The sequence below is a fragment of the Homo sapiens genome, chromosome 19 (assembly GCF_000001405.40).
Source record: "Homo sapiens chromosome 19, GRCh38.p14 Primary Assembly".
Classification (NCBI taxonomy): Eukaryota; Metazoa; Chordata; class Mammalia; order Primates; family Hominidae; genus Homo; species Homo sapiens.
Genome location: NC_000019.10, coordinates 22,629,858 through 22,657,734, shown reverse-complemented (window position 1 = coordinate 22,657,734; position 27,877 = coordinate 22,629,858). Strand labels below are relative to the sequence as shown.

Here is a 27,877-nt window from a genome sequence, read left to right as displayed (position 1 = left end):
ATTGTAAAACCAAAAAACACAATAAACTTATGTTAAGAAACCTACACTGAAAAAATGCGTTAATATGAAACTAAAAAATAATAATAAATGTTTACTCATAAAATCTGGTATGTAACTTGATGTAGCATTAACAAAGAATTTGTGTAGATAACTGTAATATTTTACTGTAACTGTGTACTCATTGAAGGTGGCTATTTTGAATCATTGGCATGCACTGTAATGCAGTAAAAGTTTCAGATAAAATGCAGTATAATCATAAACAGAAGACTCTAATGACAAACTGATAAATAAGCATTTTAAGATCATTTCTAAGTTTTAAATATATGCTATTCTTACACAAAATAAAACTGCTGTAATCCAAATTTAGAAGCAAAAAATAGCCTTACATTGCTAAATAAAGAAAAAATATATCTATTTTGCAGAATATGGTCAGGGCCTCTGATATATGAAACAAATATTTGGGAACAAATCATGTCATATTTTAGGTACTAGCTGACAAAAGTGAGTGAAAATCCTGTAATCTTTTTTTGCCTGTCTATATTTCCTTTTTGTCTGTCTACTAATTACCTAATTCACTTCAGACATAACATGTAAATTTTAGTATATTGTCCTAAATGTCTAAATCTAAAACTACTGACAAAATTGAAATAGAAAGTAGAAAGTAAAAATGGACAGGAAGAGTGACATCACTAAGATGGAAAAATAAATGGTGCCTTATTTGCTTATTTTCTGACAGCAAGAAAATTCATCAGCCTGACAAAAATGCCTTTATGAGAGAAACAGGAATCATGACTCAAACCTGTAATGAGAAATGCTTTAGGACAGAACTTCAAGATCAACCTGGGTTATGTAGCAAGAACCCATCTCCAAAATAAGTGCCCTTAAAGAGCTTTGAGATCTACGGAGGGAGCTGTGAAACTCTGCTAATGCCCAAGATTGAGGAATATTCTCTTCAGAAGGCAGGCTTTCATTCAGGTGGCAAACTATAGGACCCCTGTTCTTGGCTACAGACCAGAAAATGGCCCACCAAACTTGGTCCCACTGAGAATTCTGAACTTACACTGCAATCATCCCAAACTCCTCCCAGCCACAGTCTGGGAGAGGTCTTGCCCTTTCAGAAGCCTAGAGACAGACACCCCTTTATAGCCATGCAGCAGGCCTGCAGACCTTGGCCCTTACTGTGGTCCCTGAAGCAGTTCCATGACTCAGTTTTATCACCCTGAGCCACAGTTCATGGCAAGTTCTGCCTATGTAGAAACCCACACAGTGACCATGGGAAATCCTCTCTGGTTTTCAGTGAAAGCCAAACTCATCTACATCCTAATATAAAGCCTACCATATGCAGACCCAAGTGCAGAAATCTGCCCTAGCGTCTGCCCTACAGAGCAAAGTCCTGAAGGATACTCACTCTGTCCAAAAATAAAATGGGAATTACAACTACCTAAGCCCCTTGTAACAAGCCAACTAAAGGTGGACCCTAATGCAGACCCAGCAGCCTTTGTAAACAAGCTACCTACCCCTCTCCACTACAAACCCATAGGACATCCCATCACCCTGGGGGCTCAACAAAAGATCTTCACTTTCTGAAACCAATTTATAAAAACTTGAAGAGGGCCAGGCGCGGTGGCTCATGCCTGTAATCCCAGAACTTTGGGAGGCCAAGGCGGGTGGATCACCAGGTCAGGAGTTCAAGACCAGCCTGGCCAACATGGTGAAACCCCATCTCTACTAAAAATATAAAAATTAGCCAGGCATGGTGGCACGCACCTGTAGTCCCAGCTACTCGGGAGGCAGAGGCAGGAGAATCACTTGAACCTGGGAGGTGGAGGTTGCAGTGAGCCGAGGCCGCGCCACTGCACTCCAGTCTCAGCGACAGAGTGAGACGCTGTCTCAAAAAAAAAAAAAAAAAAAAAAAAAACAACAAGAAAAACTTGAAGAGGTGTTTGCTCCTTCAAACTCACAGACACCAATGCAAAAGTTTATTATGCCCATTCTCAACGCTTCTATTTTAACACAGCACTGGAAGTATGTGGAATAAGTAAAAAAAAAAAAAAAAAAATTAAGTCACTGAAATTGAAGACAAATAAGTAAAAAGTTGCTTTTTGTAGATCATTTGATCTTGTATATAGAAAACCATAAACAGTACATTTAAAACCTAATTAAAGTAATAATTACACTCAATAATTTAGCAAAATAGAAAATTAACATACAAGTGTAAGTTATGGTTCCATACACTTTAAACAAACTATCTGACAAAAAAGAGACAGAAAGCAATCTTATTTACAATAGCACTAAAATAATAAATTTCTGAGAACAAATTTAACCAAGGAGCTTAAATATCTTTCAAATAAAAGATACATCAATAAAAAAAAATTGGAGAAGACAAAAATAAATTTAAAAACATTTCATGTCTATTGATTGAAAGAATTTTTTTTTTTTTGAGATGGAGTTTCACTCTTGTTGCCCACATTGGAGTGTAGTGGTGCAATCTCAGCTCACTGCAACCTCTGCCTACCAGGTTCAAGCGATTCTTCCGCCTCAGCCTCCCAAGTAGCTGGAATTACAGGCGCCTGTCACCACGCCTGACTAATTTTTTGTATTTTTAGTAGAGACAGGGTTTCATCATGTTGGCCAGGCTGGTCTCAAACTCCTGACCTCAGGTGATCCGCCTGCCTCGGCCTCCCAAAGTGCAGGGATTACAGGCGTGAGCCACCATGCCCGGCTGAAAGAATATTATTAAAGTGCCGTGTTATCTACAGTGCTCTCTAGATTCAATAAATTCTCTATCAAAATTCCAGTATTTTTTTTTTACAGCAATAGAAAATACAATTCTCAGTCAGGCACGGTGGGTCACGCCTGTAATTCTAGCACTCTGGGAGGCCGAGGTGGGCGGATCACGAGGTCTAGGAGTTCGAGACCAGCCTGGCCAATATGGTGACACCCCATCTCTACTAAAAATACAAAAATTAGTCAGGCATGGTGGCTCGCGCCTGTATTCCCAGCTACTCAGGAGGCTGAGGCAGAAGAATCGCTTGAACCCAGGAGGCAGAGGTTGCAGTTAGCCGAGATGATGACACTGCACTCCAGCCTGGGTGACAGAGCGAGACTCTATCTCAAAAAAAAAAAAAAGAAAGAGAAAAAGAAAATACAATTCTCACATAGACTTACAATAAACTTTGAATAGCCAAAGCAATCTTGAAAAAAAAAGGACAAAGCAGAAGAACATCATACTTTATAATTTCAAACTATACTTCAAGACTATAATAAGACAGAATGCAATGTGCAGAAAAATTAGCAATAAAGAAACCAATGGAACAGAAACCACTGCTCTCACACATTTAGGACATAATGTAAAAACAGAACTTGAAAAACAGTTTAACATAGAGTTTCTCAAAATTATGCAGATTATCTACGTGTTTTCAAAAACAGTGAAAAAGTCAGATTTCACAGTCTCTTATGTGCCATGAAGAGGGCTGTCTTGGCTGTCACTGTAAACTTGAAGAAGATCACCAAAGGGAAAGTAAAATCTTCAGAGATTTTAAAAATATAAGACAGAAGATGCTTCTATGTGAAAGCAAAATTTAAAAAATTCAGGCTTCCCAGAAACTATTTCCTTTGGAACACAGATTTCAAATCATTTTAAGGACTGGCTTTTTTTTTTTTCTACTTTGGAGCTCTCATCTGTGTCATCTGTTGTATTCACTTTCACTCTCACCTACCTGGGGGTTCAGCTACCATCTCATGTCTCTTCACATTCCAAGGTTCTTTTCCTTGCTCCAGACAGGTGATCAGGTCTGGCTTAGAGGCAGCAATACCTGTTTTATTACAAATAACATGAATCTTGCTCATATTCTCCAATTACCAATTTAGTAGTGTGTTCAGAAAAAAGGATGTAATAGAATATTCTAGTAAATTGATTCCAAAATACTAATACACAACAAAAAATTTTAAATATTTAGGAAATATTTTAATTTTGTAAGTTCTTAATTTCACTACCTGATACTACTAAATCAAAAACTGGTAGTGGCAATTAGATTTTAAGATGTGGGCAACAGTACGTTATGCCACTAAATTTCTAAAATTAACACTAATCTAGAGTGAAGAACACAGATCAGCTCAGGAGTGTGGAAAGTTCAGGTCAAAATGAAACATCTTGAAATTCTTTTCTACATAGACAAATCTTGAAGTTAAAAACAAAAAACAGAGATCTGAAAGCATAAATTACCAAAAACCATTCTACAAAAAAGAGAAATAAAATTTATAGGGTATATTAGGGAATTGTATATTGAAGTTATCCTCACCCACGAAGACCAGGTTTCTGTAGTTCTCTAACATCACATTCCTATATAAATTCTGCTGTGCGGTGTCCAGGCATTGCCACTCCTCCAGAGAGAATTCTATGGCCACATCCCTAAATGTCAACACTCCCTGAAAAACATACAAACACACATACATATTTACCAAGTGGCCATGAACAGAATTTTTAATTTGACTCAAGGTAAAACAAGAGTAAAGAGAACTGGTTCTTACTTATAGGAGTGACTGATATATTTAATAAATAACTTTCAGCACAGAAGTATATTCTCTAATGCATTCTCTAACTCTGAGAAAAGAGAGTGGCATAAGATCCACAACATCGAGGTAAGTATGATACTTCTTCGGATGATGAAGTATAAAATTGAGGGCATTAACACTAACATGTACATTTTTGAGTGCTACATTTACATCATACAGAATAAGTTGTGTAAATTTTTCAGATGGAAAAGACATATTCAGTTAGAAAATACTGCTCACATGTTAATGTGTACAATAAACTGGAGATCTTGTTAATGCAGATTATTTTTTCAGAAAATCTGGGCTGGGAGCGATGGCTCACGCCTGTAATCCCAGCACTTTGGGAGGCTAAGGCGGGTGGATCACGAGGTCAGGAGACCGAGACTATCCTGGCTAACACGGTGAAACCCTGTCTCTACTAAAAATACAAAAAATTAGCCGGGCGTGGAGGCGAGAGCCCGTAGTCCCAGCTACTCGGGAGGCTGAGGCAGGAGAATGGCATGAACCCCAGAGGCGGAGCTTGCAGTGAGCTGAAATCGCGCCACTGCACTCCAGCCTGGGTGACAGAGCGAGACTCCGTCTCAAAAAAAAAAAAAAGAAAAGAAAATTTGGAATAAAATCTGAGTTTCTGAATCTCTAACAAGCTCACCAGTAATGCCCATGTTTTTGGTCCAAGAAAACTATTTTGTCAAACATCCAGTAAGTGGAAAAGCCTGTGTGTTTTTCAGTTTTTCTGGCCTGTAAACAAAGATGAGAGCTTTCATTTTCCAAAGACAGATAAATGCAAAGAAAACCTAAGGTGGCGGGCGCCTGTAGTCCCAGCTACTCGGGAGTCTGAGGCAGGAGAATGGCGTGAACCCGGGAAGCGGAGCTTGCAGTGAGCCGAGATTGCGCCACTGCAGTCCGCAGTCCGGCCTGGGCGACAGAGCGAGACTCCGTCTCAAAAAAAAAAAAAAAAAGCCTAAGAAAGGTCAGCTGCCAGATTAAATGTGATTGTTTATGCACATCTGCTGAATAAAGATACTCAGTAATGAAGAGAAAAATAATTAACTCTATAGAAAAAAATCTGTCACAGAGTTCATTAATCAAGTGAGTTATTAACATCAAGTGCATGAAGACAAATGTGCTGATGCACACAGAAGGACACGGCATCACTGCTATGATATTGCCCAGCCAAAAGTAAATTATAGTCTGAATTTAATCATAAAGAAACACTGGTTTTATGTAAAGTTCCAGATACCAATATCTGCCATGTTCTGTAAATTTTAATAGTGATTTTAAGTAGTCTTTCTTTCACACCCTAAAGAGCAAGTATCTCCTAATTATTATTATTTTTAAACTTTCTGCGTAATAAATGCCATCCCATTTAAATAAGCATTTTCTTAATCTTATTTGTTTACAGCTAATGGAGAACAGAGATGGAACCTCAAAATTACATGCTCTCCATCTTTATTAAGGACCCCAGCTTTTCCCCAATAGGAATCTTGAGTATCTACACCTTCCCATGTTCCATAGCCACGAAGGAAACATTCTTAATATTGCAGTTCATAAATTCATGGTGAGAATTCTTGATGACATGTAAGAAGCCATGATGTTGAGAATGTAGAGAAGACTCTGGTATGTAGGAAAGAAATATTTTTCAGAGACCTTTGACTATTATAAGAACTAAAAAGTAGTTAAACTCATTAGGAAGAAAAAGCACAAGTAGAAAAGTAAAGCTTTGCAAGTACTGAACACATGGCATTCCAGGAGGCAGAGTGGACACAGTTCTTCATCTGAGACATGTTTAGCTTAAAAAGAAAAAAAAGCCATTTTTTAGGGGCAGGGCAAAGATGGCCAACTAGAAGCAGCGGTGATCAGAGACTCCCACCGAAAAGAACCATAATGGCCTGTGAATCCTGCACTGGCACCTGAGGTATCCAGGTTCTCTCATCAGAACTGACTAGGCAGCTGGCATGACCCACAGAGAGGAAGAAAGAGCAGTGTGGTGCAGCAACCCACCTGAGAGCCACACGGGGCAGGGGAGCCCCCACCCCCCAGCCAAGGGAGGCGGTGAATGAATGTGCTACTTAGCCGACAAAACCATGCCTTTTCCATGGAATTGTGCAACCCATAGACTGAAAGATTTCACTCGTGAACCCATGCCACTGGGGCCTAGGATCCCAACCCCAGAGCTGTGCAGATTCTCAACAGCCTCTCAGCTAAAATCTGCTTAAGCCTGCTGAGTTCCCAGGGGAGGGGTGACCAGCACTACAGCTATGGCTGCCTGCTGTTTAAGCCATTTGAGCTCCCTGGGGGAGGGGCAGCAACCAGCACTGGGACTGACAGCTGCCTAACACACTAGGCTCCCTGGGCAGGGGAAGGGCGGCAGTCATCTCTATAGCTCCTGGCCATGCTTTTCCCCTGCTGGAGCCAGGGATGCTGGACGGCTTGGTCCCAAGAGGTGTCCCCCACAGCCTAACACACTGGCTGTGCCAGACTGCAGCTACAGCTCCTCTTCAGGCCTGACCCTGACACATCCCTCCTCACTGTGTGGGGCCACTCTGCAGGAACTCCAACAACTCCAGCCAGGGGCTCAGGGACAGAACTCTGATCTCCCTGGGCCTGAGTCCCTAGGGGGAGAGGTGACTGCAGTTTCTGTGGACCAGTGGACTTAGCTTTTCCCCCCGCCAGTTCTGAGGAATCCAAGCAGCCCAGAGGAGTGAGTTTAACCCCAGTGAAGCATACCCCCTCCACCAAGGGACAATAAAAGTGCTTCATTAAATGGGTTCTGTTCCTCATGCCACCCAACTGGGTGAGATACTCCAACTGGGGTTGTCAGACACCCTATACAGCTGTGTTCCTACTGGCATCAGATTGGTGTTCCTTAAGGTCAGAGATCCCAGAGGAAGGAGCAGGCACCCATCTTTGCTGTTCTCCAATCTCCTTAATATCTCCAGGTTCAGAAGTGAACCAGATAAATAGGGCCTGAAGTGAACCCCCAGCAAACCACAGCAACCATACAGAAGAGGGATCTGACCATTGAAAGAAAAACAAACAGAAATGAACAACAGCAACAAAAAAGTCCCCACAAGAACCCCATCAAAGATCGAAACTAGACAAACTCATGAAGATGAGAATCAATGACAAAAACACTGAGAACCCAAAAGGCAAGGGTGCCTCTTCTTCTCCAAATGATTGCAATGCCTCTCCAGCAAGGGTGCAGAACTGGATGGAGAATGAGATAGACAAATTGACAGATGTAGGCTTCAGAAGATGGGCAATAACAAACTCCACTGAGCTAAAGGAGCATGTTCTAACCAAATGCAAAAAACCTAAGAACCTTGATAAAAAGTTAGCGAGAGGAGCCACTAACTAGAATAACCAGTTTAGAGAGGAACATAAATGACCTGACGGAGCTAAGAAACACAGCATGAGAACTTCATGAAGCATACACAAGTATCAACAGCCAAATTGACAAAGTAGAAGAAAAAATATCAGAGTTTGCAGACCACCTTGCTGAAATAAGGCATGCAGACAAGATTAGAGAAAAAAAGACTGAACAAGAATGAACAAGAATGAACAAAGCCTCCGAGAAATATGGGACTACATAAAAAGGCCAAACCTACAATTGACTGGAATACCTGAAGGAAAGGGGGAGAATGGAAACAAGCTGGAAAACACACTTCAGGATATCATCCAGGAGAACTTCCCCAGTTTAGCAAGACAAGCTAACATTCAAATTCAGGAAATACCAAGAACACCACTAAGATATTCCACAAGAAGATCAACCCCAAGAAACATAATCATCAGATTCTCCAAGGTTGAAATGACAAAAAAATGTTAAGGGTAGTCAGACAGAAAGGCCAGGTCACCTACAAAATAAGTCCATCAGACTAACAGTGGACCTCTCAGCAGAAATCCTACAAACCAGATGACAATGGAGGCCAATATTCAACATTCTTAAAGAAAAGAATTTTGAACCCAGAATTTTATATCGAGCCAAACTAAGCTGCATGAGTAGAAAAAGAAATAAAATCCTTTCCAGACAAGCAAATGCTGAGGGATTTTGTCTCCACCAGGCCTGGCTTGCAAGAGCTCCTGAAGAAAGCACTAAATATGGAAAAGAAAAACTGGTACCAGCCACTGCAAAAACACACCATGAAGACCAATGACACTATGAAGAAACAGCATCAACTAGTGTGCAAAATAACCAGATGCCATCATGATGACAGGATCAACTTCACACAGAACAATACTAACCTTAAATGTAAATGGGCTAAATGCCCAAATTAAAAGACACAGACTGGCAAATTGGATAAAGAGTCAAGACCCATCAGTGTGCTGTATTCAGGAGACCCATCTCATGTGTAAAGACACACATAGGGATGAAGCAAAATTTACCAAGCAAATGGAAAGCAGAAATAAGCAGGGGATGGAATCCTAGTCTCTGACAAAACAGACTTTAAACCAACAAAGATTTAAAAAAGACAAAGAAGGGCATTATTTAATGGTAAAGGAGTCAATTCAACAAGAAGAGCTAACTCTCCTAAATACATAAGCACCCAATGCAGGAGAACTCAGACTCATGAAGCAAGTTCTTAGAGACCTACAAAGAGACTTAGACGCCCACACAATCAGTGGGAGACTTTAACACCTCACTGTCAATATTAGACGGATCAACAAGACAAAAAATTAACTAGGATATTCAGGACTTGAACTCAGCTCTGGATCAAGTGGACCTAATAGGCATCTACAGAACTCACCACCCCAAATCAACAGAATATACATTCTTCTCAGTGCCACATGGCACTTTTCTAAAATCAACCACATAATTGGAAGTAAAACTCTCCTCAGCCAATGCAACAGGACTGAAATGGTAACAAACAGTCTCTCAGACCACAACACAGTCAAATTAGAACTCGGGATTAGGAAACTTACTCAAAAGCACACATTTACATAAAAAATGAACAATCTGCTCCTGAATGACTCCTGGGTAAATAATAAGGCAGAAATCAAAAGTTCTTTGAAACCAGTGAGAACAAAATCACAACATACTAGAATCTCTGGGACAGAGTTAAAAGGGGAATTTATAGCACCAAATGCCCACATAAGAAAGCTAGAAAAATCTCAAATCGACACCCTAACATCACAATTAAAAGAGCTAAGTCGGGGAACGGTGACTCACGCCTGTAATCCCAGCATTTTGGGAGGCCGAGGCAGGCAAATCACCTGAAATCAGGAGAGCAAGACCAGCCTCTGGCCAATATGTCAAAACCCCATCTCTACTAAAAAATAGCAAAATTAGCCAGGTGTGGTGGTGGGCACCTATAATCCCAGCTACTCAGGAGGTTGAGGCAGAGAGAATTGCTTGAACCCAGGAGGCGGAGGTTGCAGTAAGCCAAGATCACGCCACTGGACTCCAGCTTGGGTGACAGAGTGAGTCTCCATCTCAAAAAAAAAAAAAAAAAAAACTAAAAGAGCTAGAAAGCAAGAGCAAACAAATCCAATTCCAAAAGCTAGCAGAGGACAAGAAATAGCTAAGATGAGAGCAGAACTGAAGGAGATAGACATGAAAAACCCTCAAAAAAAAATCAATGAATCCAGGAGCTGTTTTTTGAAAAAATTAACAAAATAGGGCCAGGCGTGGTGGCTCACCCCTGTAATCCCAGCACTTTGGGAGGCCGAGATTGGGGGGGATCACCTGAGGTTAGGAGTTCGAGACCAGCCTGGCCAACATGGTGAAACCCCATCTCTAATAAAAATTAAAAAAAAAAATTAACTGGGTGTAGTGGCGGGCACCTGTAATCCAGGCTACTTGGGATGCTGGGGCAGGACAATCACTTGAACCCAGGAGGCGGAGGTTGCAGTGAGCCAGGACTGCACAATTACACTCCAGCCTGGGCAACAAGAATGAAACTCTGCCTAAAAAAAAAAAAAACAACAACAAACAAACAAACAAAAAAAAACTGGCAAACTGAATCCAGCAGCACATCAAAAAACATCCACCAGGCCGGGCGCAGTGGCTCACACCCGAAATCCCACCACTTTGGGAGGCCGAGGCAGGCAGATCACCTGAGGTCAGGAGTTTGAGCCCAGCCTGACCAACATGGAGAAACTTCGTCTCTACTAAAAGTACAAAAAATTAGCCGGGCGTGGTGGTGCATACCTGTAATCTCAGCTACTCAAGAGGCTGAGGCAGGAGAATCACTTGAACCCAGGAGGCGGAGGTTGCGGTGAGCCGAGATTACACCATTGCACTGGGCAACAAGAGAGAAACTCGGTCTCAAAAAAGCAAAAACAAAAACAAAAACTTATTCACCATGATCAAGTCGGCTTCATCCCTGGGATTCAGGGCTGGTTCAACATATGCAAATCAATAAACATAATTCATGACATAAACAGAACTAAAGACAAAAATCACATGATTATCTCAATAGATGCAGAAATGGCCTTTGATAAAATTCAACTTTCTTTCATGTTAAGAACTCTCAATAAATTAGGTGTTAATGGAACATATCTCAAAATAATAGGAGCTGTTTATGACAAACCCACAGCCAATATCATATTGAATGGGAAAAAGCTGGAAGCATTCTCTTTGAAAACCAGTACAAGACAAGGATGTCCTTTCTCACCATTCCTATTGAATATAGTATTAGAAGTTATGGCCAGGGCAATCAGGAAAGAGAAAGAAATAAAGAGTATTCAAATAGAGTAAGAGGAAGTCAAATTCTCTCTGTTTTCACATGACGTTATTCTATATTTAGAAAATTCCATCATCTCAGCCCAAAAACTCCTTAAGCTGATAAGTAACTTCAGCAAAGTCTCAGGATACAAAATGAATGTGCAAAAATCACAGGCATTCCTATAAGCCAACAACAGACAATCAGAGAGCCAAATCATAAATAAACTTCACAACTGCTACAAAAAGAATAAAATATCTAAAAATACAGCTAACAAGGAATGTGAAGGACCTCTTCAAGGAGAACTACAAACCACTCCTCAAGGAGGTAAGAGAGCACACAATCAAATGGAAAAACATCCCATCCTTATGGATAGAAGGAATCAACATCATGAAAATGGCCATACTGCCCAAAGTAATTTATGGGCTCAATGTTATTCCCATCAAACTACCATTCACATTCTTCACAGAATTAGAAAAAAAGACTTTAAATTTCATATGGAACCAAAAAAGAGCCCATATAGCCAAGACAATCCTAAGCAAAAAGAACAAAGATAGAGGCATCACACTACCTGACTTCAAGCTATACTACAAGACTACAGTAAGCAAAACAACATGGTACTGGTCCAAAAACAGACATATAGACCAATGGAACAGAAAAGAAACCTCAGAAATAACACCACACGTCTACAACCATCTGATATTCAACAAACCTGACAAAAACAAGCAATGGGGAAAGGATTTTCTATTCAATAAATGGTCCTGAGAAAACTGGCTAGCCATATGCAGAAAACTGAAACTGGACCTCTTCCTTACACCTTATACAAAAATTTACTCAAGATGGATTAAAGACTTAAATGTAAAACTCAAAACCATAAAAACCCTAGAAGAAAATCTAGGCAATACCATTCAGGACATAGGCATCGGCAAAGACTTCATGACAAAAATGCCAAAAGTAACTGCAACTAAACCCAAAATTGACAAATAAGAGCTAATTAAACTAAAGAGCTTCTGCACAGAAAAGGAAACTATCAGCAGAGTGAACAGGCAACCTACAGAATAGGAGAAAAATTTTACAATCTACCCATCTGACAAAGATCTAATATTCAGAATTTACAAGAAACTTTTAAAAATTTACAAGAAAAAAAACAATTCCATCAAAAAGTGAGCAAAGGCTGGGTGTAGTGGCTCATGCCTGTACTCCCAGCACTTTGGGAGGCCAAGGTGGGTGGATCGTTTGAGGTATGGAGTTCGAGACCAGCCTGGCCAATATGGTGAAACCCCATCTCTACTAAAAATACAAAAATTAGCTGGGCGTGGTGGTGGGTATCTGTAGTCCCAGGTTCTCGGGAGGCTGGGGCAGGAGAATCACTTGAACCCAGGAGGTGTAGGCTTCAGTGAGCAGAGATCGTGCCACTGTACTCCAGCCTGGGAGACAGAGCAAGACTCCATCTCAAAAAAAAAAAGTGGGCAAAAGATGAACAAACACTTCTCAGAAGGCATTTATGCAGCCAACACACATGAAAAGAAGCTCAACATCACTGATCATTAGAGAAATACAAATCAAAACCACAATGAGATACCATCTCACACCAGTCAGAATGGTGATTATTAAAAAGTCAGAAACAATAGATGCTGGTGAGGCTGTGAAGAAATAGGAATGCTTTTACACTGTTGGTGAGAATGTGTATTAGTTCAACCATCGTCGAAGACAGTGTGGTGATTCCTCAAGGATCTAGAACCAGAAATACCATTTGACCCAGCAATCCCATTACTGGTTATATACTCAAAGGAATACAAATCATTCTATTATAAAGACACATGCACACGTATGTTTACTGCAGCACTATTTACAACAGCAAAGACATGGAAACAACCCAAATGCCCATCAATGACAGAATGGATAGATAAAATGTGGTACATACACACCATGGAATACTATGCAGCCATACAAAGAAATGAGATCATGTCCTTTGTAGGAACATGGATTAAGCTGGAAGTCATCATCCTCAGCAAACTAACACAGGGATAGAAAACCAAAAACCGCATGTTCTCACTCATAAGTGGTAGTTGAACAATGAGAACACAAGGACACAGGGAGGGGAATAACACACACCAGGGCCTGTTGTGGAGTGGGGGGCAAGGGGAGGGCACCTAGAAGATGGGTCAATACGTGCAGCAAACCACTGTGGCACACATATACCTATGTAATAAACCTGCACATTCTGCACATGTATCCTGGAACTTAAAGTAAAATAAAAATAAAATAAGTATTCAATATTTCATCATTAAGAATGCCATTTTTTCTCTTTCTCCTTCTTTTCTAGGATTCCTTCTCAGATAAGATTCTCTGGACAAATTACACCGCATCTTGAGACTATGCCTTGAAAAGTGTCAGCACCACATGTTTACCTGCTACCACCACACCCACAGGCAGAAGACCCAAAACAGAAAAAACTCCACCCATTTCTGTACTTTATAACAGAAGAGATTCAGCAACAATGAGCTGCTCTACAGATATAAAAATACAAGTTTCTCCTTTCCTGTCTTCAGGTGCCCTCCCCTGCCAGCAATTTCTGCTACAGTAACAAAAGTATGAGCCACACTGCCCTGTCCCTATGAAACCCAAAGAAAAGAGGCTCTAGGACTACCCTTTAGTGCACAGGTGAAACTTAACTCTCATAAATGTATCTTGAACCCCCTATACTTGATTCTGGCCACAACTTAGAGTCACATGAGGCAGTTAATTAAAATAACATGAATGCTTCCACCCAGAACATTAAACAGAACCTGTGGGAAGGGCACCAGTAAAGGGAGTTCTGCAAACTGGCCATGTGATTGTAATTAGCAGCCTGGGCTTACAACCACTGAACTAAGCATTGCCTCTCAAGTTTTATTGAGCTTATAAATCACTTGGTAATGTTGGTCTCAATCTATGTAATGTGATTCTGCAGGTATGGAAAGGTCCATGAATGGGTGTTTTAAATAAGTCCCCTGTCAATGCTGATGATGCTCCCCCTAGGCTCATTATTAGCATTAGTTAGAGAAAGCAGGCACAGCACAGAGTCCCTTATACTTGGCACTCTTGTCACAACACAATTACTTCTGGAACAAATTGAAGACAACTAATCTCCATCTTAAAGTATCATAATCTTTGTTGGCTTTTTAAAGTTTACAGAGAAAACAGAAAGCAGCAATATCCGACTGAGTCTGCACTTATTTATTTTTTTTATTTTTATTTTTTTGAGGATAGAGTCTCACTCTGTTGCCCAGGCTGGAGTGCAGTGACAAGATGTGCGCTTACTGCAACCTCTGCCTCCCAGGTTCAAGCGATTCTCCTGCCTCAGCCTCCCAAGTAGCTGGAACTACAGGCATGCGCCACCATGCCTGGCTAATTTTGTTGTTGTTGTTGTATTTTTAGTAGAGACAGATTTCACTATGTTGGTCAGGCTGGTCTCAAACTCCTGACCTCAAATGATCAGCCCGCCTCGGCCTCCCAAAGCACTGGGATTACAGGAGTGAGCCACCACGGCCAGACCTTGCTTTTGCATTGTAAGTACTTCAGCCTGCAAATAAGTACCTTGGATAATCAAGTTTCTGTCAAAGGAACTTAACTCTGTATCTTTTAGTCTTTATCATTCTGTATTGCTAAATTTAATTCTACCTTTGTGTCCAACTTTCAAGTGCTCTTAAAATGAGCTTTACTCTGAATAAATCTGTGTGTACTTTTAATGACTGAAAATTAAAAAAATAAACCTCTGCCAAAGCAAACACAAAGCAATGAATCTCAGGTTACAAATAAAGACAATCCTGAGTCAAAAAGAATGACAAGGCCGTGCGCGGTCGCTTACGCCTGTACTCCCAGCACTTTAGGAGGCCAAGGCAGGTGGATCACGAGGTCAGGAGATGGAGACCATCCTGGCTAACATGGTGAAACCCCGTCTCTACTAAAAGTATAAAAAATTAGCCGGGCGTGGTGGTGGGTGCCTATAGTCCCAGCTACGCAGGAGGCTGAGGCAGCAGAATGGCGTGAACCCGGGAGGCAGAGCTTGCAGTGAGCCAAGATCATGCCATTGCACTCCAGCCTGGGCAACAGTGCGAGACTCCATCTCAAAAAAAAAAAAAAAAAAAAAAAGACAAAAGGTTTATTTAGCTGTTAATATAATTTATGTATATTTCAAAAAAGCAGAGAAAAATACCTACATATAATCTAAATGCTTTAATAAAACAGAGATGAACAAAATATCCTCCCTTATTTTCACGTATGTAAATAAAGCCTCTTATTTTTAATTTACATTTTCTCCTAAAACAACCAGGTCACTGGACACGTTCTTGAACTCTGGGACATCTGGATTGTGAATGTGAAAGAATGTTTATGGTAAAAAAGCAGAAGAGAGAAAGATGTTATAATAAACTGATGGGGGCGTGGCCGGGCGCGCTGGCTCACGCCTGTAATCCTAGCACTTTGGCAGGCTGAGGCGGGCGGATGACGAGGTCAGGAGATCGAGACCATCCTGGCTAACATGGTGAAACCCCGTCTGTACTAAAAACACAAAAAATTAGCCGGGCATGGTGGCAGGCGCCTGTAGTCCTAGCTACTCGGGAGGCTGAGGCAGGAGAATGGCGTGAACCCGGGAGGCGGAGCTTGCAGTGAGCCGAGATCGCCCCACTGCACTCCAGCCTGGGCAACAGAGCAAGACTCCGTCTCAAAAAATAAAAAATAAATAAGTAAATAAATTGATGGGGGCACATAAATAAATCAAGTTGTTAGAGACCTATGAAGAGAATGAGATACTGACACAATAATAGTGGGAGACTACAACACCCGTGGGCACTAATAGTCACATTATTGAGGCAGAAAATTAACAAAGATATTAAGACCTAAACTCAACACTTGACTAAACAGTCCTAATAGATTTCTACAGAACTCTCCATCTAAAAACAACATAGTATACAGTCTTCTCATCATCACGTGGCACATACTCTAAAATTGACCACACAGTCAGAAGCAAAACAATCCTCAGCAAATTTAAAAATTCCAAAATTATATGAACCACACACAGAGGCCACAGCTTGATAAAAATGTAATTCAATACAAAGAAAATCACTTGAATCATACAAGTACATGCAAATTAAACAACCTGCACTTGAATTACTTTTGGGTAAATAATGAAATTAAGGCAGGAACCAAGAAGTTCTCTGAAAAAAATGAGAACAAAGATACAACATACCTGAATTTTTGCAACACAGCTAAGGCAGTGTTAGGAGAAAAAAATTATAGCATTAAATGCTTACATTGAAAAGTTAGAAAGACTTCAGTTTAACAACCTGACATCATAAATAAAACACTGAGAGAAGCAAGAGCAAATCAACCCCTAAGCTAGCAGAAGAAATAACCAAAATCATTTCTGAATGGAAGATTTTGACATGAAAAACTATACAAAAGATCAACAAGTACAGGAGTAAAATTTTTAAAAACATAAAAATAAAACCAACCACCATTAAGATTAATGAAGAAAAAGGAAAAGATCCAAATAAACACAATTAAATATGACAAAAGAGACATTACCACTGACCCCACAAAAATATATTGAAGTCTACTATGAACACCTCTATGCACACAAACTTGAAAATCTAGAAGAAATGGAAAAATTCTTGAATAAATATATCCTCTCAAGACTGAACAAAAAATAAATCAAAGCCCTTAATAGATAAATAACAAGCTTGAAAACTGAATTAGTAATAAATAGCCTACCAACCAAAATAGGCTAGGACCAGATAGATTCACAGCTGAATTCTAGTAGATGGACAAAGGACAGCTGGTACCACTTCTACTGAAACTATTCCAAAAAACTAAAAACAGCACCATTCTGATACCAAAACCTGACAGAGATAAAACAAAAGAAGAAAACTTTAGACCAATATTCTTGATGAACATTGATGCAAAAATTCTCAACAAAATATTGGCAAACCAAATTGAGCAGGACATCAAAAACCTAACCAACTATAATCAAGTAGAGTTTATTTTGGGGATGCAAGGCTAATTCAACATATATGAGGTGGGGCGTGGTGGCTCACGCCTGTAATCCCAGCACTTTGGGAAGCCAAAGCAGGCAGATCACCCAAGGTCAGGAGTTCGAGACCAGCCTGGCCAACATGGTGAAACCCTGTCTCTACTAAAAATACAAAAATTAGCCGAGCGTGGTAGCAAGCACCTGTAATTCAGCTGCTTGGGAGGCTAAGGCAGGAGAATTGCTTGAACCCGGGAGGCAGACGTTGCAGTGAGCTGAGATCGCGCCACTGCACTCCAGCCTAGGCAAGAGAGTGAGACTCCATCTCAAAGAAAAAAAAAAATCACACATGAATTAATAAATGTGATTCATCACATAATAAGAACTGAAGACAGAAAGCACAAAAGTATGTCAATAGATGCAGAAAAGGCTTTCAATAAAATTTAACATTTTTATGTTAAAAAGTCTCAACAAACTAGGGATGGAAGGTGCATACTTCAAAATAATGAGTTATCTATCACAAACCCACAGCCAACATACTGAATATACATAACCTGGAATCATTTTTCTTTGAAAACAGGCACAAGACAAGCATGCCTCCTCTCAACACTCCTATTCAACATAAAATTGGAAGTCCTGGCTAGAGCAATTAGGCAAGATAAAAAAAAAAAGGCATACAAACAGGAAGAAAGGAAGTCAAACTTATTTCTTTTTACAGATGACATAATGCTGTATCTGAAAAACCCTATAATCATCACAGAAAAGCTTTTCTTTTCTTTTCTTTTTTTTTTTTTTTTGAGACCAAGTTTCGCTCTTATTGCCCAGGCTGGGGTGCGGTGGCGCGATCTTGGCTCACTGCAACCTCTGCCTCCCAGGTTCAAGCAATTCTCCTGCCTCAGCCTTCCTGAGTAGCTGGGATTAAAGGTATGCGCCACCACGCCCGGCTAATTTTGTTTTTTTAGTAGAGACGGGGTTTCTCCATGTTGGTCAGGCTGGTCTTGAACTTCCGACCTCAGATGATCTGCCCGCCTTGGCCTCCCAAAGTGCTGGGATTACAGGTGTGAGCCACCGCGCCAGGCCTAGGAAAGCTTTTCAAACTGACAAAAAACTTCAGTAAAATTTCAGAATACAAAATAAATGTACAAAAATTAGTAGCATCCCTGTAAATCAAAAACATGCATGCCAAAAGCCAAATCAAAAACAGAACCCCTTCACAATCACTACAAAGAGAATAAAATATCTAGAAATACAGCTAACCAGGGAGGTGAAAGATCTTTATGACAACACTGTGAAAACACTGCTTGAAGTCAGAGATGACACAAACAAATGGAAAACCATTTTGTGCTCATGGATAAAGAAGATCAATATTGGCCAGGCGCAGTGGCTCACGCCTGTAGTCCCAGCACTTTGGGAGGCTGAGGCAGGTGGATCACGAGGTCAGGAGTTGAAGACCAGCCTGGCCAACACGGTGAAACCCCATCTCTACTAAAAATACAAAAATTAGCCAGGCGTGGTGGCAGGCATCTGTAATCTCAGCTACTCGGGAGGCTGAGGGAGAGAATTGCTTGAACCCGGGAGGCAGAGGTTGCAGTGAGCCGAAATCGCACCACTGCACTCCAGCTTGGGCGACAGAGCAAGACTCCATCTCAAACAAACAAACAAACAAAAAAAGATCAATATTATTAAAATAGTCATCCTGCCAAAGAAATTACAGATTTAATGCTATTTTTATCAAACTACCAAAAATATTTCTTAACAGAGCTAAAAAACAAAACAAAAAAATTTTTAAATTTATATGGAACCAAAAAAGGGCCCAAATAGCCAAGGCAATCATAAGCAAAAAGAACAAAGCTGAAGTCATTACATTACCTGAATTCAAACTATACTACAGGGCTACAGTAAACAAAGCAACATGGTACTGGTACAAAAACAAACTCATAGACCAATACAACAGAATAGAGAGCCCATAATACAACACACCTACAACCATCTGGTTGTTAGCTTTGGCAAAGCTAACAACAGGAATCTGGAAAGAAATCCCTATTTAATAAATGGTACTGGAATAACTAGCTAGGACTATGTAGAAGATTGAAACTGGACCCTTTCATTACACCACATACAAAAATCAACTCAAGATAAATTACAGATTTAAATGTAAAATTTCAAATTATTTTAAAAAATGCATGAGATAACTTAGGAATTACCATTCTAGAAATAGAAGCCGGCAAAAATTTTAAAATAAAGATACCAAAAGCAATTGCAACAAAAGCAGTAATTGACAAATTGAAGCTAATTAAGCTAAAAAGCTTCTTCACAGCAAAGGAAACCATCAATACAGTAAACAAAAAACACACAGAATAAAAGAAAATATTTGCAAACTATGCTTTTGACAAAGGTCCAATACCCATAATTTATAAGAAACTTAAACAAGTTACAGGAAAAAAAAGACCTAAAAAGTAGACAAAAAACATGAAAAGGGTGTTTTCTTCGAAGAAGACATACATGTGGTTAACGAGCATAAAAAAAATGCTCATCACTAATCATTAGGGAAATTCAAAGAAAAACCACAATGAAATATCATCTCATCCAGTGAGAATGGCTAGTATTAGAAAGTCAAAACATAACAGATGCTGGCAAGGTTACAGAGAAACAGGAATGCTTATACACTACCCATGGGAGTGTAAATTATTCAACCACTATAAAAAGTAGTGTGACGATTCCTCACAGAACTAAAAACAGAATTACCTTTTGACCCAGCAACCTCATAATTGGGCATATAACCAGTAAAATATAAATTATTCTATTATAAAGACATACGTATGTTCATTGCAGTCCCTGTCATTCATGAAAGCAAAGACATGGAATCAACCTAAATGCTTATCAATTGTATACTGGATAAAGAAAATATGGTATGGCTGGGCATGGTGGCTCACACCTGTAATCTCAGCATTTTGGGAGGCTGAGGCAGGTAAATTGCCTGAGCTCAAAAGTTTGAGGCCACCCAGGGCAACATGTCAAGACCCTGTCTCTACAAAAAATACCAAAAAAATTAGCCAGGCCTGGTGGTGTGTGCCTGTAGTCCCAGCTACTTGGGGGGCTAAAGTAGAAGAGGATTGCTTGAGCCTGGGAGGTTAAGGCTGCAGTAAGCTGAGATCATGCCACTGCACTCCAGTCTGGACAACAGAGTGAGACCCTGTCTTCAAAAATAAAATAAAATAAAATAAAAGGTTTAGGCCGGGTGCAATGGCTCACGCCTGTAATCCCAGCACTTTGGGAGACCAAGACAGGCAGATCACAAGGTCAGGAATTCGAGACCAGCCTGACCAACATGGTGAAACCCCATCTCTACTAAAAAAATAAAAATAAATAAATAAAAACACAAAAAATTACCCGGGCGTGGTGGCAAGAGCCTGTAATCCCAGCTACTTGGGAGGCTGAGGCAAGAAAATTGCTTGAACCCAGGAGGCAGAGATTGCAGTGAGTCAAACTGCACCACTTCACTTCAGCCTGGGCAACAGAGCTAGACTCCGTCTCAAAAAAAAAAAAAAAAAGGTTTACTAAAAATAAAACATGGGGTCAGGGTGTGGTGGCTCACACCTGTAATCCCAGCACTTTGGGAGGCCGAGGCAGGCAGATCACTTGAGGTCAGGAGTTCAAGACCAGCCTGGCCAACATGGTGAAACCCCGTCTCTACTAAAAATACAAAAATTAGCTGGGCGTGGTGGCGCATGCCTGTAATCCCAGCTACTTGGGAGGCTGAGGCAGGAGAATTGCTTGAACCGGGAGGCAGAGGTTGCAGTGAGCCAAGATCGTGCCATTGCCCTCCAGCCTGGGCAATAGGAGCAAAACTCCATCTCAAAAAAAAAATAATAAAATAAAAATAAATAAATAAAATATGGTAGATAAATATCACGGAATACTGTGTGGCCGTTAAAACACACATACACACACGCACACACACAAACACACACACACACACACACACACACACACAGAAGATCATGTCCTTTGAAGCAACATAGAGCAACATAGATGAAGCTGGAGACCACTATTCTTAGAAAACTAACGTAGCAGCAGAAAACCAAATGCATGTTGTTTCTAAGTAATAGCTGAGGCTGGGCGCGGTGGCTCATGCCTGTAATCCCAACACTTTGGGCCGAGGCGGGCAGATCACCTGAGGTTGGGAGTTCAAGACCAGCCTGACCAACATGGAGAAACCCCATCTCTACTAAAAATACAAAATTAGCTGGAAGTGGTGGCGCATGCCTGTAATCCCAGCTACTTGGGAGGGTGAGGCAGGAGAATCACTAGAACCTGGGAGGCGGAGGTTGCCGTGAGCCGAGATCGCGCCATTGCACTCCAGCCTGGGCAACAAGAGCGAAACTCCATCTCAAAAAAAAAAAAATATTTAAGTAAGAGCTGAATAATAAGAACACGTAAACACAAAGAGGGAACAACAGACAGTGAGGCCTAGTTGAGGTTGGAGAATGGGAGGACAAAGAGGATCAGAAAAAGTACCTGTTTGGTGCTATGCTTAGTACCTCAGTGACAAAATAATCTGCACACCAAACCCCCATGACACAATTTTAGCTGTATAACAAACCTGCATGTGTACCCCTGAACCAAAAATAAAAGTTAAAAGAGATTCATCTTTTCCCCAGGGTATCCACTTGAGAGGCTACACTCCATATCTCAGGTTGTCCTACGAAAGAAAATGACTTTAGGAGCTGATATTCACTAGATACTCTAGCAGACATCGCCATAGCGGTTATCTTGGTTTATTCAGAGACAGTACTGAAAGCCAGGACCAAGAATAAACGACAGGGTTGCTAAGCACAAATCACCCCATAACGTTTGCAAAATAAAAACATCTTGACACTAAAACATTCTCATAAGATCTTTATGCCTAGGGAAGACAAAAGAAAAAGAGGCACAGAGATTTTTTACAATTCACTATCGGGATATTCCTTGCTTTCTTCTCATGGGAAATATTTACAAACAGAAAACATATCTTTTTAAATATGCCATCTAATGCTTTGTCAAAAAATGATTAATTAAAATACAGTATGAAAAATGTACACTAAAGGACAAATAATAATGTAAATTAGGGAAAAGAAGTTGGCATTTGAGATTTTCAGAAGGAACTGAAAATTCAGTATTTTACTGCAAGCCAGAGTTAAGCTGGAGAAATGGGGTGTGGGGGGTTGACTTGAGAACCTGCTTGGGACCTATGTGAAAAATGCCAGGGAAAATCAGCCCCATGTGGCGGCAAATAGACTGAGGTGGCTCTAATCTTTGGATTCCTAATTTTAAAAAATCAAACTCAAATGCATTTTTTTTTTTTTAGAAATTACTACATTGGGGGAAACAAAATTCAGGCTTAACTAACGATAAACTGCCAAGTAAGCTCTGATTACACAACCAGGAAATTTGTAGGCTCAAGGTGAAAATTAAGAAACTACGTAAATATACCTAACCGATTATTGAATTTGGGTATTTTCATCTGCATCTTTCCTTCAAGATCCTCCCATGGACCGACCACAAACTACAACCCACAGCTGGGTGCTCTATAACTTTTGAACCACTCCTTGCTTAAATTTTTAAGTATTTTCGCGATAACTCCCATAAATTTTTAATAGAAGAAAAGAGGAACTAGGAACCCCATAAACCAAACCAAAGCTCTTCCCATTCGTGAACCCGCACCCCGAGTCAGGATTCTCCCCTGACCACCCTCCCGTGGTCCCTGCACAATCTGGGAGAGACACGACGCTGCGGGTGCAGAGCTGCCCAGAGAGGGCTCCAGGCCAGGGCACCGTCACTGCGCAGGGAAGAGACAGGACGCCCGGGGGTCCGGCTGCCAGCGCAGCCGCCAATCTGATGGCTGAAGGGGACTGAGGCTGGGCTGGGCAAGGCGAACTTGGGGCGCAGATTGTGGAGCCGACTGCGGGGAGGCCTGAGTCCCGCCACAGCCTCTTGCCACCGGTTCCAACCAGCCCCTTCCCCTCTCTCGGGATGTCGGACCCGGCACTCTCACCGTTTCTAGGCTTCCAGGGGGTCCTAGCGTCTTAGCTGTGGATCTCCCAATACCTGCAGGTCACAGGGCCACAGAGGATGGGCCTCTAGGACCAGAGGACGCAGAACAGCGAACACTAGACCATACTCCGACTGCAGCGAGAGACAAAGACCCCGCCACATCCCGGAAGCCGCCCTTTCCGCTCCAGCTGCGTGCCTGATTGGACAGTTCCCAGGCCAGCGTCGCTGAATGGATAACGTTTAAGACCCCCCCCCCCCCCGCCCTCAGGCCCTGAGTGACAGAAGATGTAACCAAACGCTGGGCCGAATGAGGACAGAGTGACAGCCGAAGGTGCAGCCTTTTCAGGCAGGGCTTCCTGCCTGAGCTGAGCCAAGCACACCGCAGAAGGTGTTTGCCTTTAACGTTGTGTGTAAGGTCTCATATATTTGTAAATAATATACTATATGGCTGCTCACACATGAAAAGAATAGAATAATTATTTTTAAATTTAGGCTTTTTTGTGTGTGAGACAGAGTCTCACTCTGTCGCCCAGGCTGGAGCGCAGTGGCGCGATCTCAGCTCGCTGCGACCTCCGCCCCCGGGTTCAAGCGATTCTCCTGCCCCAGCCTCCCGAGTAGCTGGGATTACAGGCGCCTGCCACCGCGCCCGGCTAATTTTTTTGTATTTTTAGTAGAAGCGGGGTTTCGCCATCTTGCCCAGGCTGGTCTTGAACTCCTGACCTCAGGTGATCCATCCTCCTTAGCTTCCTAAAGTGCTGGGATTACAGGCGTGAGCCACCGACCCCAGCCGGAAGACATTTCATTCTGCTGCAATTTAGCAAAATATTTGAGTACATCTTGAAGTTGTCTTTTGATTTTTTTTTTTTTTTAAGACATGGTCTCACTTTGTTTCCCACGCTGAAATGCAGTGGTGTGATCTCGGCTCACTGCAACCTCAGCCTCCTGGCTTCAAGAGATTCTGGTGTCTCAGCCTCTCCAGTAGCTGAGAATACAGGCGTGCACCACCATGCCCAGCTGATTTTTCAATTTTTAGTAGAGATGGGGTTTTGCCATGTTTGCCAGGCTGGTCTCAAACTCCTAACCTCAGGTGATCCACTCGCCTCGGCCTCCCAAAGTGCTGAGATTATAGGTGTGAGCCACCCTGCCTGGCCTGCATTTTGATTTTTACAATGGCAGAGCTGCTGTTGAAGATTTCAAAGTCAGAAGCAGCCATGGGGCAAAGCTCCAGAAGCACACCTGGAAATCACACACAGTGAATACATCCCTCACCCTGAACCAATTGTTTTCACCCGAGTCTGCATGTAAAAATCACTTCGGAGGTCTTTTAAAATCCCCCAAACACAAGTTGCCACATACCAATTAAATCAGAATTCCTGCAATGGAACCTGGGCAATAGTGTAAATATCTCTAGGTGATGACAGAGCGCAGCCAAGGTCAAATGCCAGTGCTGTAAACCAGTACTTTTAGGTGACTAGTTGCAAATTTTTTCTCAAATGAATGAAAAAATGTTTGCCGCTAAGTCATGGCTTTGTCTTACCAATATTACCAAATTATTGTTCTATGCACAACCAACGTCGCTATTGGTTTTGTTCCTGAACCAACCCAGTTGTATATATACTGAGTGCACACAAGGCCCTGACATTGGCCAATGTAGGTGCCCTGACATTGGTGATCGTTACTGTGAGGGAAAAATTTTCTAGAATAAAGGTTGCATTCCCCTAAAATTAAAAACATGCCATGTACCGAATTGGGGCTAAAATAAAAAGACGTATGGTCTCATTCAGGAGTTAAGGCTTGGCTGGGCACGGTGCCTAACGCCTGTAATCCCAGCACTTTGGGAGGCCAAGGCAGGCGGATCATGAGATCAGGAGATTGAGACCATCCTGCCTAACACGATGAACCCCCGTCTCTACTAAAAATACAAAAAAAGTTAGCCGGGCATGGTGGCACGTGCCTGTAGTCCCAGCTGCTCGGGAAGCTGAGGCAGGAGAATCGCTTGAACCCGGGAGGTGGAGGTTGCAGTGAGCCAAGATCGTGCCACTGCACTCCAGCCTGGGCGACAGAGCAGAGCGAGATTCTGTCTCAAACAAACAAACAAAAAGGGCTTGAATACTCTTTTTGGAATATTAGAAGCTGTATAATTATGCCCTGAGTGTGTGTGTTCCACCATAAAACAAACAAAAAAATGTTGCCATTATTCTGAGATACTAAGTTAGCATTTTGTTCAAATATGTACTATGGGCCAGGCGCGATGGCTCATGCCTGTAATCCCAGCACTTTGGGAGGCCGAGGCAGGCAGATCACCTGAAGTCGGGAGTTCGAGACCACCCTGACTAACATGGAGAAACCCTGTCTCCGCTAAAAATACAAAATTAGTCAGGCGTGGTGGTGCATGCCTGTAATCCCAGGTACTTGGGAGGCTGAGGCAAGGAGAATCGCTTGAACATGGGAGGCGGAGGTTGCGGTGAGCTGAAATCACGCCATTATACTCCAGCCTGGGCAACAAGAGCAAAACTCTGTCTCAAAAAAAAAACAAAAAAAAAAACCCAAAAAACAAACAACAACAAAAAAAGTACTATATAATTTTTTATTGATATATAACATTTATACAGAAATGTATGCACAAAGCATTCATTTATGTAAAGCTGAATGCATTGTTAAAAAGAAATACACTTCTGTAATCAGAAAATGAAACTAGGTTGGGTGCTGTGGCTCGTGTCTGTAATCCTAGCACTTTGGGATGCCAATGTGGGTGGATTGCTTGAGCTCAGGAGTTGGAGATCAGCCTGGGAAACATGGTGAGATTCTCCCTCCAAAAAAAAAACAACAAAAAAGAACCAGGCATGGTGGTGCAAACCTGTGGTCCCAGCCTCTGCAGAGGCTGAGGTGGGACAATTACTTGAGTCCTGGCGTGCGTGGAGGTTGCAGTAAGCCGAGATTGCACCCCTGGACTCTAGCCTGGCTGACAGAGCAAGACCCTATCTCAAAATAAATAAAATAAAATAAAATAAAACTAACCTCATTCATGCCCCAACAATCACTTTCTTTTTTCTTCTTAGACAATAACCATAATCTTAAGAGTTAACATTGTGGATCAATTTTGTGTTTTTATTTAAGTGTTTTATTATATAAAAATTTAAACATATGAAAAACAATGACAACAACAACAACAAAAATTCAATAGACCTGCCATGAAGCCTCGAGAACTATTAATCATGTCTCATTCTTGTTTCACCTATAGCTCTCTACTTCAGTCATTTCTGGTCAACACATTGTCCACCCTCCATTATTTTTTTCACTTTTGTTTGTTGTGAGGTCAAATATACAAACATTGAAAGGCACAAATCCTAAAAATTTTTGACATGTAAATATACTCATATATAGTCTTCGTATTTTTTAAGAATGGATAGAATTTTTTTATTCTATTGATGGAATCTAGAATAGAATGATAGAATATTATTATTATTCTCAAATAATTTCCTCATGCTTTTTTTCCCAGATGATTTTATTGTCAATGAAGGCTATTTGTTGGTGTGTTTTTTTTTTAAAACCATTGGTTCATTTTGCCTGACATCATTCAATATGTATTATTTTATTTCAAGATTGTCTCAGCAGGTTTATGAGATTCATCCAGGGTGTGTGCTTCAGTAGTTTGTTTCTTTCTGTGGCTGAGTAGTCTTCTCTTGCATGAATGAGTTACAATTTGTTTATTCATCTTCCAAGATACGGACATTTGGGTTGTTTTCTGCTTTAAGCTATTATGACTAAAAGGTCTATAAACATCCTTGTACAAATACTTTTTGAAATTTAATTTAATTCATTTATCAACATTTAAGTGACACCTCTTTACATTATTTAGTGGTTTCTTCAGGGATTACCATATACATCTTTAACATATTACAATCTACTTAAAGTTAACACTGTACTATTTTAATAAAGCTAAAATGTGAAGAACTTGCTGTTGGAGAGTTTTAATTACTTTTTTAATTCTTTATATTATTCATAAATTTTACATCTGTACATTATATATCTCACAGTACTGTTATAATTTTTTTAAACAGTCATAAAAAATTAAGATAAAATGGTATTTATAAATATTTGGAGGCAGATCCTTTGAGTCTGCATAAATACATTGTTTCTCCTTTAAATTTTACCCAAAATGGCCGGGCATGGTGGCTCACACCTGTAATCCCAGCACTTTGGGAGGCCAAAGCAGGTGGATCACTTGAGGTCAGGCGTTCAAGACCAGCCTGGCCAACAGGAGGTCAGGCTGAGATAGAAGAATTGCTTGAAAATCACGCCACTGCACTCCAGCCTGGGCGACAGAGTGAGACTCTGTCTCAAAAAAATAATAATAATTTTAAAAAGAAAAAACATAGGAGAAAAGAGACTTCTTTAAAAAATTCCAAGTACTAATCAATGTAGATAGATAATGCAAAATAGAAAATCACCACTAGGACATGACAGTAATAATTATTGTAGACAAGATGCATTGAAGAATGCAAAAATTTGGAGTAAAATTTATTCATTTTTTGAGCAAGTGCATCCGTTTAAACTTCACAGAATAAGAAACATATATATTCCTAACCTTTTGTTTTCTTCTTCTTCTTTTTAGACA

The 27,877-nt window shown here is 40.9% G+C and overlaps 1 protein-coding gene across 3 annotated transcripts in view; it reads right to left on the bottom strand.

Annotated features, from left to right (window-relative positions):
- The window catches only part of ZNF492 (zinc finger protein 492), a 33,348-nt gene extending 9,937 nt beyond the window's left edge, over positions 1-23,411 (bottom strand). The window contains exons 1-3 of one of the 3 annotated variants that reach the window (NM_020855.3): positions 23,261-23,411; positions 4,302-4,428; positions 3,720-3,815 (exon numbers count right to left, since the gene is read on the bottom strand). In NM_020855.3, the coding sequence (NP_065906.1) occupies positions 3,720-3,815; positions 4,302-4,335 (130 nt within the window). In that variant the 5' untranslated portion in view covers positions 4,336-4,428; positions 23,261-23,411. The remainder of the gene's footprint in view (positions 1-3,719; positions 3,816-4,301; positions 4,429-23,260) is intronic. The other 2 variants (XM_047439130.1, XM_047439131.1) reach the window with 2 other exon arrangements.
- Between the last annotated feature and the right edge of the window lie 4,466 nt (positions 23,412-27,877).